The sequence below is a fragment of the Homo sapiens genome, chromosome 15 (genome assembly GCF_000001405.40).
Source record: "Homo sapiens chromosome 15, GRCh38.p14 Primary Assembly".
In the NCBI taxonomy this organism is placed as follows: domain Eukaryota; kingdom Metazoa; phylum Chordata; class Mammalia; order Primates; family Hominidae; genus Homo; species Homo sapiens.
In genome coordinates, this window is record NC_000015.10 from 48,310,468 (window position 1) to 48,325,875 (window position 15,408).

The 15,408-nt window shown below is 42.6% G+C and overlaps 2 long non-coding RNA genes across 2 annotated transcripts in view; both read right to left on the bottom strand.

The window, feature by feature from the left end:
* The window catches only part of DUT-AS1 (DUT antisense RNA 1), a 21,389-nt gene continuing 5,981 nt past the window's right edge, over positions 1–15,408 (bottom strand). The window contains exons 2-3 of the long non-coding RNA NR_186809.1: positions 4,428–4,496; positions 1–2,274 (exon numbers count right to left, since the gene is read on the bottom strand). This is a non-coding gene — a long non-coding RNA (DUT antisense RNA 1). The remainder of the gene's footprint in view (positions 2,275–4,427; positions 4,497–15,408) is intronic.
* On the bottom strand, positions 6,257–10,708 carry LOC124903486 (uncharacterized). The gene is made up of 2 exons (XR_007064625.1): positions 9,700–10,708; positions 6,257–8,178 (listed from the first exon to the last, which is right to left on the bottom strand). It is a non-coding gene; the product is annotated as an uncharacterized LOC124903486 (long non-coding RNA).

Below are 15,408 nucleotides of genomic sequence, written 5' to 3' on the forward strand. Positions count from 1 at the left end.
TGGTTTAAAACAGTACCCATTTATTATTTCACACTTTCCATGGGTCGAGAGTACAGGCATATCTTTTATTTTATTTTATTTTATTTTATTTATTTTTTGTAGAGACAAGGTCTTGCTATGTTGCCCAGGCTGGTCTAGAACTCCTGGCCTCAAACAATCTTCCTGCCTCGGCCTCCCACAGTGCTGGGATTACAGGTGTGAGCCCTATGGCTGGCCAGACATATCTTAACTGGGTTCTTTGCTCAGGATCTTACTATACTGGAATCAAGATTTTAGCTAGGGCTACAGTCTCCTCTGAGGTTCAGGATCCTCTTCCAAGCTCAAGTGATTGGCAGCTGTATTAATTTTCTTGCTGCTATAGAACTCATGGCAGCTTGCGTCTTTAAGGCCACCAGGGAGAAATCTTTAAACTCTAGACCCTCTGTTAAAGGGCTTACCTGATTAAGTCAGGCCCACTTTAGTCAATCTCCCTTATGATTGAACTTAAAGGCCGGGCATGGTGGCTCACACCTGTAATACTAGCACTTTGGGAGGCAGAGGCTGGTGGATCACCTGAGGTCAGGAGTTAGAGATCAGCCTGGCCAACATGGTAAAATCCCATCTCTACTAAAAATATAAAAATTAGCTGGGTGTGGTGGCCCGTGCCTGTAATCCCAGCTACTTGGGAGGCTGAGGCAAGAGAATTGCTTGAACCCGGGAGGCAGAAGTTGCAGTGAGCCAAGATCGCTCTACTGCACTCCAGCCTGCCCAACGGGAGCAAGATTCCCTCTCAAAAAAAAATAATAATAAAATAAAATAATTTTTAAAAAGATCAAACTTAAAGTCAACAGATTAAGGATTTTAATTATATCTGCAAAAATTTTCATCTTTTCCTTATAAAGTAAGCTAATAATTAGAGGGGCACCCCACCATACTCACAGGTCCCTCCCAGACTCAAGAGGAGGAGATTACACAGGCCATCTTAGAATCCTGCCTTCAATATTGCTATCTCACATTTCTAGAGATCATATATATCAGCTATGAAGAGCCAAGCTGGGAGTTAGATAAGTTAAAAATGGTCCATGAAGTGTCCCCCAAAAAGTTCCACTCTCTGTGCATGCACAATAGATCATATTCATTTGGAGGGATATCTAGAACCATAAAAATAAATTAAACCTGAAAAAGACCTCAGAGATCCTCAAGTACTAAAATGATGTTTCCATACAGAACATTTGCACACAATTCTAGTTACATTGTTTTTCAGTCAACAAAATGTTAAATGAGCAGTAACTAGCCATAAGTGACACCAGGGATAATGCAGCAAAACATGAAAAACTTTTAACAAAGGAAATATAGAGCACAAAATTGCAGCAATCTGAGGTCAAAAACGTGAAAGAGATTCTACACACCCCAGTAGAGCTTGAGGACATCATTACTTTGTAAGAGGACAGACTAATGGCAGAAAAGCTCAATTTTGTTCCATGTATCCTGGTTAAGAAAGCAAGGATACCTGCACTGCAATTCACCCTCAGAAAAATTCTCGTCCACATGGCTGGCATCAAAAGATGGCTAAGCTTCAGTTATCTGGAAAATTAATTTACATAGACAGACTCTTTCTGCAGTTAAGCAGAGTATATGGAGCTCCAGTGTAAGATTTAAACAGTATATTTTCAGGTTAAGTAATTTAAGATGAGGAATGCAGAAAGGAGAACTTCTCAGAGGTTGAGGCCAAGAACCAGGTCATGAATGTCATTGCTTCAGAGAAGGTGACAAGCAATGACAACTGGGATAAGAAGACTAATTTCCTCCTCAGCCTGGGAGACATATTGCAGCAGAGGGTAGTTTGGGACAAAACTCAGCAGTTGACTTTGAGAGAAAGGCATAAGTAACTGCTAAACTGTGAGACTGCTGCAGACCCTGGGGGCTCAAGCCCAACCCTCTGTTGTCATGCAAGCCCCTGTTCTCACACAGCATGGCTTTCCCAGACTTTCAAATCTGGATCATCTGCTCTTTTCGATGCCCAAGAGATGAAGAAAAAGAGACTGACTTCTCTGTTATTATGTACTTGCACTTTCTGATGTTCCTATTGCACTTCTGCCCAACAAAGAGGTGGTAAAATTATTCTCAGGGAAAGTGAGAAGTTCAGAGGAGTAAGAAATAACAGGTATTTAAAGATGTTAGGCCAAGCACGGTGGCTCACATCTGTAATCCCAGCACTTTGGGAAGCCGAGGCAGGAGGATAGCTTGAGCTCAGGAGTTCGAGAACAGTCTGGGCAACACAGTGAAACCCTGTCTCTACAAAAAAAAAATAATAATAATAATAACAAACATTAGTCAGGTGTGGTGGTGTATGCCTGTAGTCCCAGCTACTTGGGAGGCTGAGGTGGGAAGGATCACTTGAGCCCTAGAGGCGGAAGTTGCGGTAAGTTGTAATTGCACCACTGCACTCCAGCCTGGGTGACAGAGCAAGACTCTGTCTCAAAAAACAAAAAACAAAAACAAATACAAAAAAAAATATTAAACAACTCCAGCTGCTAACACAACACGCACATTGGAAACAGATCACCATACTGTGATTTCCTAATGCTCAAAGATACATTTACAAAATGAATTCTACTAAAAAAAAGTATTATTTGTGCACTTTTGACTTAATGTGTCCAAAAGTGAGCTCTTACTCTTCCTTCCCAAAGGTGCTCTTTAACACTCTTCCTTCATCTCCATGCATGACAATGCTATCCTTGCCATGAATCTTCGAGTCATCTTTGACTCTCACACGCACATCTGATTTATCAGCAAATCCTATTGGCTTCAGAATATATCCAGAATCTACTCACTTGTCACCATCTCCACTTCTGCCTCTCTGACCCATGTTGCCACTGGACCATTTCTCACCTGGATCACTGCAGGAGCCTTCTCAAGGGTCTTTCCACATCAGGCCTAGCTCCTCCTCTGCCTCATTTCAACATCTTCTCAAAGGTCTTTCCACATCAGGCCTTACTCCTCCTCTTCCTCATAGCAACCCAAGCAATCCTGCCAAGTAAACTAGAGATTGTCATTCCTGTTACCAAAATCTTCTAATGGCTTCCCATTTCAGTCCATGGAAAAGCCACTGTCCTTACAAGAGCTTACAAGGCCCTACCCCTGCACCCCATCCACCTATTTCTGCGACTTCAACACCTACAACTGTGTACGCCTTCCTCTGTCACTGTTCAGACCACACTGGCCTTCTTACAGGTGAGTTTGCACCCTGGGACCTTAGTGCCTGCTGTGTCCTCTGCCTGGAATGCCCTTCCCCAAGATATCACTTCCTTCAAGTTAGGTAAAACAACCCCCAGCCCCCAGCCCCACAATCAGCAAATAGCATGTTCTCACTGAGGCCTTCCCTGGCTTCCCTCTCTGAAATCAGAAGTCTAAATCCCATACCTCCCTCCCTGCTTTACTTTTCTCCTTAACTCTCGGCACTACTCATTTGAATCACATCTTCTATCTGTTGTCAGACTTATTTTGTCTGTTCTGTTCCCTGCCATATCCTCAAAGTCTAGACCAGTGCCTGGCACATGGAACACATTCAACAGATATTTGTTGGAACGATGAATTAATACAGGGCACTGAGGGGACATGGCAAGTATGAAACTCCTTTGGGGTCTGGTCTCTGACTCACTATGAAGCCGCATTCTGCCCTGCTCAGGGCCCTTCCACACCAGCTATGCCCTGACGCACCACACACTCTGTACTCTCCAGAGCTCTGAATATGCTTATCCTGCTGCCTGGGATTTCTGACTCTCTCTCTCTCTCTTTTTTTTTTTTTTTTTTTTTTTGAGATGGAGTCTCGCTCTGTCACCCAGGCTGGAGTGCAGTGGCATGTCTCAACCCACTGCAACTTTTGCCTCTCAGGTTCAAGCGATTCTCATGCATCAGCCTTTCAAGTAGCTGGGATTACAGGCATGCGCCACTATGCCCGGCTAATTTTTGTATTTTTAGCAGAGATGGAGTTTCACCATGTTGGCCAGGCTGTCTTGAACTAATCTCAAATTATCTGCCCACCTTGGCCTCCCAAAGTGCTAAGATTACAGGCATGAGCCACCGCACCCAGCCTCACTCTTTTTTTTATGTTTTTGAGACGGAGTCTCACGCTGTTGCCCAGGCTGGAGTGCAATGGTGCGATCTCGGCTCGCTGCAACCTCGCACTCCCGTTCAAACGATTCTCCTGCCTCAACCTCCAGCGTAGCTGGGATTACAGGCACCGCCACCACGCCAAGCTAATTTTTTAATTTTTAGTAGAGACAGGGTTTCACCATGTTGGTCAGGATGGTCTCAATCTCCTGACCTTGTGATCTGCCCACCTCAGCCTCCCAAACTGCTGGGATTATAGGCGTGAGCCACCTCGCCCAGCCTCTTTTTTCAATCACTGTTATTTTTATCCTTATTTAGTTCACTACTATACTCACTTTCTCTTGAGTTGATTGGCCATCTGGTGTCAGTTCTTTTGTCAATTGATTCAACAAAAATGTGTCAGGCTGTAAAGACACAAAGATACACTGTTCTGAGCTCTTAAGATATTGGCATCCACATTCCCTGCCCTCAAAAAGTTAAAGGTTTAGACAGACAAGAAAACAAGTTACACATAATAATTACAAATTGTGAAAAATACTGTGAAGGAAATAAAGAGAAAGTGTTGAGACAGGATAACTCTGTTGACCTTGATGCCCTTTGTGGGCGGGAACTGGAGAGGCTCCTTTCACTCAGCCCACTGTCGGCCACTCCTCCCAAAAGAGAGCCTGCGAGCAAGCGAGTGCAGCAACCGGAGACAACACTGGAACTGGCCCATTACTCCTCTCTGGCAGGAGCACGCTCTGTGCAGGCCCTATAGCAGCATCCAAGCCCCTGCCCTCTCCGTACCCGGGCATCCAGGAAGAATCAGGCCACAAGAACGAATAGAAGGGTGGTTGGTGTATGCGGAGGATTTTACTGGGTGATATAAGTGGCTCTCAGCAGGATAAGGAATTGGAAAGGGGATGGGTGTGGGAAGAAGGTGATCTTTCCCTGAAGCCACACTGTCTGAAGTTAGCCACATCTATCCATAGTCTTGATGCTCAGCAGCTTGTACCCCCACCGCTCCGCTGCTTGTGTTGCTCTGCCAGTTGAAGTCTTTTTATGTCAACAGGATAGGGGCGTGGCAGGCCAAAAAAGTAACATTTGGGTGGAAAAACAGGGTCAGCTATTTTCACTTAGGGCTGTGGTTCCAGGCTTAAGGGTGGGGTGGGGAGGGGGTTTAGCCAGGAGCCCAGCTGTTCTGTATCAGTGTGACAGAGAATAATGGAAATAGTAATACTTTATTAGGGTACTCAGTGAGGATGTCTATGAAAAACACATAAGGATAAGAAGGTGCTGACAGTGTTGAACTTTACCGGAGCCCTGTGCTCCTGGAACACAGCAATCGTTAAGAAGTCTCCCCAGCTTTCTGTGTTCTAGAAATGGCTAACTGAAATCAACCACCATTCCCTATATGACTTAGACAAGACACTGCCAACTCTTTCTCATGATTCCTACAAGACTGTAGATGATTCCTTTGTTTACCTGTGACAAGGTCAAACCCAGACTTTTCCCCTTTAAACTGAGCCTGCACATAAGGTCAGACAGACACCTTCTAACTTTATTCTTTGTCTCATGGATGATTAGCTGAGATAAGTTTTGTCCTCATGAAACTAACTAGACACAGAAATAAACAATCCCAACTTTAAATTTACTCCACCTATAACTTGTCTACTCTTCCCTATAAAAATCTAAGACAAGGCCAGGTGTGGGGACTCACACCTGTAATCCCAGCACTTTGGGAGGCCAAGGTGGGCAGATCACTTGAGGTCAGGGGTTTGAGACCATCCTGGCCAACATGGTGAAACCCAGCCTCTACTAAAAATACAAAAAAATAAGCCGGGCATGGTGGCGGGTGCCTATAATCCTAGCTACTCAGGGGGCTGAGGCAGGAGAATTGCTTGAACCCAGGAGGCAGAGGTTACAGTGAGCTGAGATCACACCACTGCACTCCAGCCTGAGTGGCAGAGTAAGACTCTGTCTCAAAAAAACAAACAAACAGAAAAAATCTAAAACAAAACTATCCTGCTAGATACACTGTAGTAGGCTGAACACGGCCCCTGAAGATATCCAGGTCCTAATCCCTGAAATCTGTGAATTTTACCTTACATGGAAAAAGGGCTTTTGCAAATGTGATTAAGGATCTTGAGATGAGGCAATCATCCTGGATTATCTGGCTAAGTCCTAAATAAAAGCACAAGTATTTTTTTAAATTTAAATTTTATTTTACTTTATTTTATTTTAAATTCTGGGATACATGTACAGGATGTGCAGGTTTGTTACATAAGTAAACACATGCCATGATGGTTTACTGCACCTATCCACCCATCACCTAGGTATTAAGCACCACATGCATAAGCACAAGTATCTTTGTAAGGGGGAAGCTGAGGGACATTTGACTATAAGCAGAAAATCATGTGATGGAAGCAGGGTCAGACAGAAGATGCTACACTGCCGGTTTTGAAGATAAAGGGGCCATGAGCCAAGGAATGCAGCTCTAGACATGGGAAAAAGCAAGAAAACAGATTCTCCCTTAGAGAATCTGCATCTCTCCAGAGGCAATGTGGCACCAGAGACACCTTGATTTTTGGCACGGAAGACTCATTTTGGAATTCTAGCCTCCAGAACTGTAAGGGAATCAATTTCTATTGTTTTAAGTCACTAATTTTGTGAAAATTTTTTACAGCAGTAATAGAAAATAAATACATACTCTAATCTTCAAATCTGGGGTGTTTTCCCTATTGCAATAGCCAAAATAAAATCAATCTCCTTACTTATTCAGTTTTTGTCTTTGATGGTGCTACCCATGTGAAGAACAGTGAGTAGAACAGGCCAGGCAGAATGAACACTACGGGCAAAAGCCCCCAGGCAAGAGAGGACTTGAGATATTCTGGAACCTAGGAAATGAGTGTGACTCAAGAGAAAGTTGAACAATAACAGTCTGATCATGCAGGGCCTTGGGCCATGACAGGGAATTGGGGATTTATTATATGTGTGATGGGAAACCTTTAGAAGATTTTAAGCCATAAATGGTGAAAGCAGGGAGGTTAGTTAACAGTCCCGGTAGCTGGGTGTGGTGGCTTACGCCTGTAATCCCAGCACTTTGGGAGGCCGAGGTGGGCAGATCACGAGGACAGGAGATAGAACCCATCCTGGACAACATGGTGAAACCCCATCTCTACTAAAAATACAAAAATTAGCCAGGTGTGGTGTTGCATGCCTGTAGTCCCAGCTACTCGGGAGGCTGAAGCAAGAGAATGGCTTGAACCTGGGAGGCGGAGGTTGCAGTAAGCCAAGATTGCGTCACTGCACTCCAGCCTGGCGACCGAACAAGAACTCCATCTCAAAACAAAAACAAAAACAAAAACAAAACAAAACAAAAAACCAGTCCTGGTAAGAAATGATGGTGGCCTCAGAATGGGAGAATAATTCAGATTTGTTTAGATACAGAATTAGTAGGGCTGGATGAACCAGATTCTGTCTTTGTGTGGGTCACAGTAGGAAACAGAGAACACAGTCAAATTAGGATAACTTGAGGAGGGTTTACTAAAGGGACTATTCATAAAGATGTGGGCAAGAAATGGAAGCCCAAAACCACAAGGGAGAGTCCAGTACCTACAAGCTGGGAATAATGTGATGCTCTTCCCTTTGCCAGGTCCGAAGAGAAAAGGGGAGAGCATCATTTCTAGAGCTTGGAAGACAAGGCAACTTGACAAGAGCAGTGGCGTTCAGTAGAGGTTTAACGCCCACCTGACCTTTCCCGCCCTTCTCCCTCTGGTCTCCTGCTGGGGCTCTCCATTGTCTTAACCCACATTGAAGCCACAAGACAAAGGAGCTCGTTGGTGATGCCCATACAGGTCAGCTGCCTGGACAGCGAACAAACTGTAAAGGGACAGAGAGTGGGCCTGGAGGGAACAAACAAAGGTGTGTTAGGGATAGTCCAATTATTACAATTTACTAAAAGAAAATGCAGAGACTTGAATTTTCTACATGATTTCCTTAATACTCAGTTTCAGCTAGCCTATGCCTATAGGCACAAAAATAATGAACTCTCACCTTCCTGACTTCTTTTTCTTTTTTTTGAACATTTACAACTGCTTTTTTGTCCTAAAGGCAATCAGGAAAGAAAGTGATTAAAACACTTATGAAGATTAATAATGCTGTCTTCAAAGTTCAGTGGAAAAATTATTTTGGTAAAATTCTAAAATTTGAGAAAACGTTTCTATAGGAGAACTGGATAATACCCACTTTGGACTAAAGAGAATTGAGTTTGTGCAGTCTAGTAAGTAAAGGTTGTTTCACCAGGGCAGAATGCGGAATCACAATCACCCGAAACCACAAGCGGAATTCATACGTCTCCCTGCACAGATACCCATATTTTGCCATTGCTTAAGTTTCCTTTTTGTTGTTGTTGTTATTACTCTGGAAGATAATTCAATTCATATTGCACATTTCCTCACAGAAAATTTGAATCTTATGAATATAAAAATCATGGACTTGGCCCAATTTTATTTTAATCAGTTTTTCAGTTTCCTAATTCAGGATTAGCTTCCCAGTATATATGCAGACATTTAGTAACAAGTGCAACAGTGTGCACATTAAAATATGGAGAGTTTCAGCAGCAATTTGAGTTATAGTAATTACTGGGTTTGTTTACACAGACATAGATGAAAAGTATAACCTTTTTCTTTTTTTTTAATTTGGAAAAATCATGTGCTACCAGCAGAAAAAATTATACAATAGTTGTATAATGTCATAGAGGAAATCAGGTGCAACCAATGAGACTGAGAAATAAAGGGATCAAAATCATATAAGGTAGTGTCTTAACTAGGCATCCTTTCTCCTGGAATTAGCCCCAATAGTAGAGAAAGGCTCTCACAGGCACATTCTGCTCAGAATGATTGCCACAACCTTCACCAGCACCCAAATCACCTGCCCAGTGGACACCAGGATCTCCATTTACCAATTCCAGTGCAATCCCAAAGCCATCTTCTACTGCGCTTTGGCAATCATTTGTCATATCTTGTTCCCTGGCCCCATTTGCTCCATCTGGGAAATCAGACTGATTGAGATGGGGTTTGTAAAGGGGAAGGAGAGAAGAGGGAGGAAAATGCCCTCTCTGCTACCCTAGCAACTGGGAGCCAACAAGAGAGGCACTAGTGTTCTTGGGGAAAGTGGGAAAGTAAGTCCATCCCTGGGGACACTCAGAAACAGATCAGGCCTGCTTTTGAAAGGCTTATTGATACCAGATCTGAAAGCTCTCCCAAGACACTCAGATTACTGCTTTCATGACTACAGGGCTGTTTCTCTAAAGGCAGCAAGCAGGCATACAGAGACCTTCACAAGTCTTACAATGATTAAAAAGGGGTAAAATTACCCAAATCACCAATAATTCATCTCAATATCTTCTTCCACCTATTCTACCCTATTTCCATATCAAATTGACTTACTGAGCCATCAATTCAGCTAAAAGGGAAGTCCTATTGATTGTTTAAAATATCCGTTTTAAGTCTTGTGGTAGACAGAAAAATGGCCTTCAAAGATGTCCACACTCAGATCCCCAGAACTATGAATTTTATTACCTCACATGGCAAAGGTGACTTTGCAGATGTGATTAAGGTCACCAACCTTGAGATGGGGAGATTATCCTGGATAATCTGGGTGGGGCCACTCTAATCACATGAGTCTTGAAAGAGAAGAAACTTTCTCAGCTGTGGACATAGAACCAGAGAGGTGGCAGTGGCAGCATGAGAAGAATTCAACTTGCTGCGTTGGCGAGGAAGACGGAAGAAGGAGGTCACAAAGCATGGAATGCAGGCAGCCCAGCAGCTGGGAAAAGCAAGAAAATGGATTCTCCCTCAGAGCCTCTAGAAGGGAGGGCGGCCTTACCAACATCTTAATTTTAGTCCAGTGATACCCATGTCGGACTTCTGACCTAAAGAACTGCAAGGTAAGAAGTTTGTATTGTTTAAGCCATCAAGGCTGTGGTAATTTTTTTACAGCAGCAATAGAAAATTTGGACTGTGTAGTCTTCATCACCTCAAGCTTGGATTAGCACAATAGAAAATTTCCAGTCTCCCCAGCCTCCAGCTTCTTAGTCTCCACGTCATCTTAGAAAATCTCATTCCACTAAACTCTTGTCAAATATTACTCTACTCATTCTACTCCCCTGTCCAAGAGCCTACAAATGGCAATTTTTCAAACTAAGCACCTCTGAACATCAGATCTGTGGTGTCCTCTTTGGGCCTGCCAAGGGGGGAAGATGGGAGGCTCACCATGCACCTATTTTAATGGCAAAAGTTCTGGTCTGACTGTTCTACACTGTGTACTTCAGAATAAAATTAGGCTGAAAGAATGGGTTCCATTGCTTTACAAGTATTTGACCTATAGCATTAAATATAAGCTTCTCGGCTCAATTTTTAAGGCCTGCACAATCTCACCCTACTCTGTTCCTCTAGTCTATGAACTCCTTTAGTCCCCAAAAGTAATCTTTCACATAAATCAGAACAATTTACTCACAATACCTACAAATAGTTATGTTCCTATTGATACCCACACACTGAAGAGTGCAAATACTGAAGCTTAAAATCATTCAGTCTTCTCTCAACTCGGAGAAAGACTTTCTTTTTTTTTTTTTTTTTTTTTTTGAGACGGAGTCTCTCTCTGTCGCCCAGGCTGGAGTGTGGAGTGCAGTGGCGTGATCTGGGCTCGCTGCAAGGTCCGCCTCCCGGGTTCACGCCATTCTCCTGCCTCAGCCTCCCCGGCAGCTGGGACTACAGGTGCACGCCGCCACGCCCGGCTAATTTTTTGTAGTTTTGGTAGAGATGGGGTTTCACCGTGTTAGCCAGGATGGTCTCATGAGCCACCACGCCCGGCCCAGAGAAAGCCTTTCTATTCACCTCCAGACCTTTTTACACCAAGAAACCAACCCAACTTCCCTATTCCCTCCCTGCCAAGTAAAGTCTACCTCTTCTACTCCAGGGAGCATTTACAGGTTAAGCATCCCTTAACTGAAATGCTTGAGACCGAAAGTGTTTCAGATTTTGAATTTTTTCAGATTCTGGAATATCTGCATATACATAATGAGTTATGTTGGGGATGCGATTCATGTCTAAAGGTAAAACTCACCAATGTTTCCTTTTTTTTTTTTTTTTTTTTTTTTTTTTGAGACGGAGTCTCGCTCTGTCGCCCAGGCCGGACTGCGGACTGCAGTGGCGCAATCTCGGCTCACTGCAAGCTCTGCTTCCCGGGTTCACGCCATTCTCCTGCCTCAGCCTCCCGAGTAGCTGGGACTACAGGCGCCCGCCACCGCGCCCGGCTAATTTTTTGTATTTTTAGTAGAGACGGGGTTTCACCTTGTTAGCCAGGATGGTCTCGATCTCCTGACCTCGTGATCCACCCGCCTCGGCCTCCCAAAGTGCTGGGATTACAGGCGTGAGCCACCGCGCCCGGCCACCAATGTTTCATATACACCTTATACACATAGCCTGAAGGTAATTTTATACAGTATATTACATAATTTTGTGTATGAAGCAAGGTTTGTGCATATATGAAGTTGATGTACATTGAACCATCAGAAAGCAAAGGTGTCACTATCTCAGACACCCATATGGACAGTCACCTGTTGTTTGGCATCACCATCATTGCTGACTTTGAATTGATATGCAACCAATAAGCAATCATTTTCTTATACTTATTCACATATAAGTACTTAGTAAAAAATATGACATACCACTAATACGGTGAAAAAATGTGTTCAGGGTAACTAAGTGGCACAATAGCACCACCAGAACACCTGTATCATCCATTAAACAACAGCAGTCACAAACAATGACAGGCTCTCAGTTTCCACCTACAATTCTGTGTTTTGATTGAAAAGTTACTGTGCACTGTAACCCCTTGGGAATGGTGAATAAACAGTGTGTTTTGTGTCTAAGTCTTGATTGCAACAAGTTGCATGAGGTCAGGTGAGGAATTTTCCATTTGTGGTGTCATTTGGTGCTCAAAAGTTTAAGATTTTGGAGCATTTTGGATTTTCAGATTAGGGATGTTCAACTCACAGAGCTATAGGGAGTCACTGTGTATGCCAAGGGAATGCCTCTCCTATCTCATGAGTCACTTTCCTCCAGCTTATTTGAGAGTCAATTTGTTTTAAGATCTAATTCTACATTGTTGCCTAGTTTCTTCTCAGAACCACTCCTGTTTAGTCCCCGTAAGTCTCCAAACCCCAACTCAGATGGGGCCTCTGATCACTTCTGTTGATTACTGGGGGGATTCTAAGATTTCCTTTAGCACAATGTCGTCATCATCAGGTTAAAATCAGAGGAGATGTGATCCTTGGAGAGAATACTCCCATTCTCCGCTTTATCCCTTCTTAGCCTAAAATGCCACTAACCTTGTATGCAACATGCTTTAATGAAGGTTTGTAATAACTGAAAGGATCGTAATGTAAATCAAAAGCAAAAATGGAAAGAAAAAGTAAAACTGGATGTCAAATTTGACTGCAAACAAAGATCAAGGTGAAATGTTATAACATTTAATCGCAAGGTTTCCAATAGCTGCCTGTTCTTCCTGGGGCTTGGTAGTTCAATTCAACAGGTTGAACAATACACCCATTGTTCTTCCAAATAAATGTTAGTTGTTGATAAGGTTAGCTCAGGTTAGTTTCTATTACTTACCAGCAAAAGACTACTAATATATCCTTTACAAAAAATGGTTCTATGGCCACATGTGCTTGGGAAATGCTTACAGAGCACATAGCCCAGCTTGGAAATTCACAATGGTCATTAAAGACTCTGAGAAGTCCTGCAATACAGACACGACTTTAATATATAAGCCATTATTACCAAAGAGTATGTCCCAAACTTTTGTCAGTGTAAAACTTCCATTAGCAATACGTGAATACAATGAATGCATGGAGGCAATCACATCATTATTCCAAAAGAATTTGCCAACTCATCAGATTGTCTTGGCCACATTTCATGTAGCATTTTATGAATAATTTGCATTAACATATTGATTAAAAGTAAAAGGGATAATACTTTTGTTTTTGAGGCAGAGTCTCACTCCGTGGCCCAGGCTGGAGTGCAGGTGGTGCGATCACTGCTCACGGCAGTCTCGACTTGCCAAGCTCAAGCAATCCGTCCACTTCAGCCTCCAAAGTAACTGAGACTACAAGCGCGCGCCACCACGTCCAGCTAATTTGTTAGTTTTTTGTGTGTGTGGAGACAAGGTCTCACTGTGTTGCCCAGGCTGGTCTCTAACTCCCAAGCTCAAGCAATTCTCTCGCCTTGACCTCCCAAAATGTTGGAATTACAGGCATGAGCCACCACACCCAGTCGGGATAATACTTTTGAAATGCCCTTCTTGGTAATCCAGGGTTTTTTCTTTACTTACCCTTTATTGCTCAGAATATGGGAGGGTGAGATCGAAGAAGTTTTTAAAGAAGAGAAGGTCTCTAAACAACAAGAAAAGACAGGAAACAGCAGAAAGAAAGAATATGGCCGAGAAATCTAAGGATCCTAGCTTTCCCCTGCTACCCTCCTCACCTCTCCTGAGTCAAAAATATGGGGGAGAGGGGTATTTGTTGCTCTCCTGAAAAGTTTTCAAGCCCTTTAAAGAAGCCCCATGATACAGAAATATGTTTGGTGATCTGAAATGTATTCCCAAATGAAAATATTGCAAAGAAACGTGTTTTACATTAAGAAATAACGAAGGCATGTGATCAAGGGTACACATTAATTTTGCGAGAGCATTTTACAGGAAAAATATCTTGATTCCTGTTATGGACTGAATGTGCCCCACCCTCCCAAATTTAATGTTAAAGTCCTAACCGCTGGTCTGATGGTATTTGAGATGGGGCCTTGGGGAGGTAATCAAGTTTAAATTAAGTCATAAGGGTGGGGTCTTAATCCAAGGAAAGACCATATGAGTACACAGAGAGAAGGTGGCCTTCTGCAACCCACAAGAGAGCCCTTAGCAGAACACCACGATGATGGCACCCTGACCTTGGAGCCTCCAGAACTGTTTGAAAATTAATTTCTGTTGTTTAACTTAGTCTATGGTATTTAGTTATGGCAGCCCAAGGTAACTAAGACATATCTAAGTATTTCGAAGGAAGAATATCTTGATTCCTGAGCTTTCACAAAATGGGTTAAAATGTTCCTAGTTCCCAAAACTCTGATGCAATAATTGCAACTTAGTGCCCCTTAGTTATAATGTATGTTTCCAGACGTTACTTGTTTCTGACATTGAGTCCATATTTACCTTGTTTGGTTTAATATAATTACAGACAGGAACATTGCTTGAGCTTCCATCATCATACCTTGAAATTTATGAGCCAAAGATCAGGCTGAAAGGCTAATTAATATTACTGAAGATGAACTGAAAAGATTCCTTGGGCAGACTGATGGGTCAATAGAAGTTTCCAGGGTTTTCATCACCAAACATATTTAACAATCGAAATACGCTGGTCAGCTTACAAAATCTCAGTGTTTGCCCGTTACACTGCATTACTACTACTATGAAAATAGTCCGTGTGCTGGAGTGAAACCAGTTCTGCTACTCTAGCCAAATGGAGCCAAACAATTAATGTCTGAACCAGGTATAAAGACGGTCTGCATTATATGTTTACTTTTCCAGTCCAATTGGATGCCCTCCAAAGATGAGAGAGGGAGACACAATATGAAGAGATCATATAAGCCAGAGGAGACAGTGGGAGCTTAGAGTTGACTTAGTTTTTAAAGAGCTTTCCAGTTTAGTCCATGTGATTCCCCTCCACCTACTCTTTTCCCCTTATCTAATCTTGAACAATTAAAACCAGCAAATATATTTCTTACACTAGAATTTACATTAAAATTTCACTTTACATTCTACAGTGTTTCAGCCTTGCAGTCCTGTTTAACTATTGGGGCCTCGTTAGCGACTTGTTTATTTAATAGTCTCAGCAAAACTAAGAAATAAGCAAATATTCTGAATGCTGCCTGGTCTGCAGTTATTCTTTTTAAAAAAAAATTTTTTTAAAGACTAGTCAAGCATAGTAGTGAGAAGGGGAGAAAGTAGAACAAGGAGTTTCAGATCAAACTCCTGACTGTGAACAATCGGTTGAGATAACTCCCTACCTTCGGGCCAGCCATGCAATTACTCTTAATACAATTGTACCACAGAAGCATTGCTAAGAACACAGACCCTGGCTCTGCCTCTATATTTAAGGTAATGGAGCCTTTATTAAAACGGTCCACAGTATAGTATACTTGGTAAAGCTGGTAATATTGGTTATATGTGACATTATTCTTTTCAGGATGTCTTGACCCCCACAGATTCTCTAGAAATAAATCC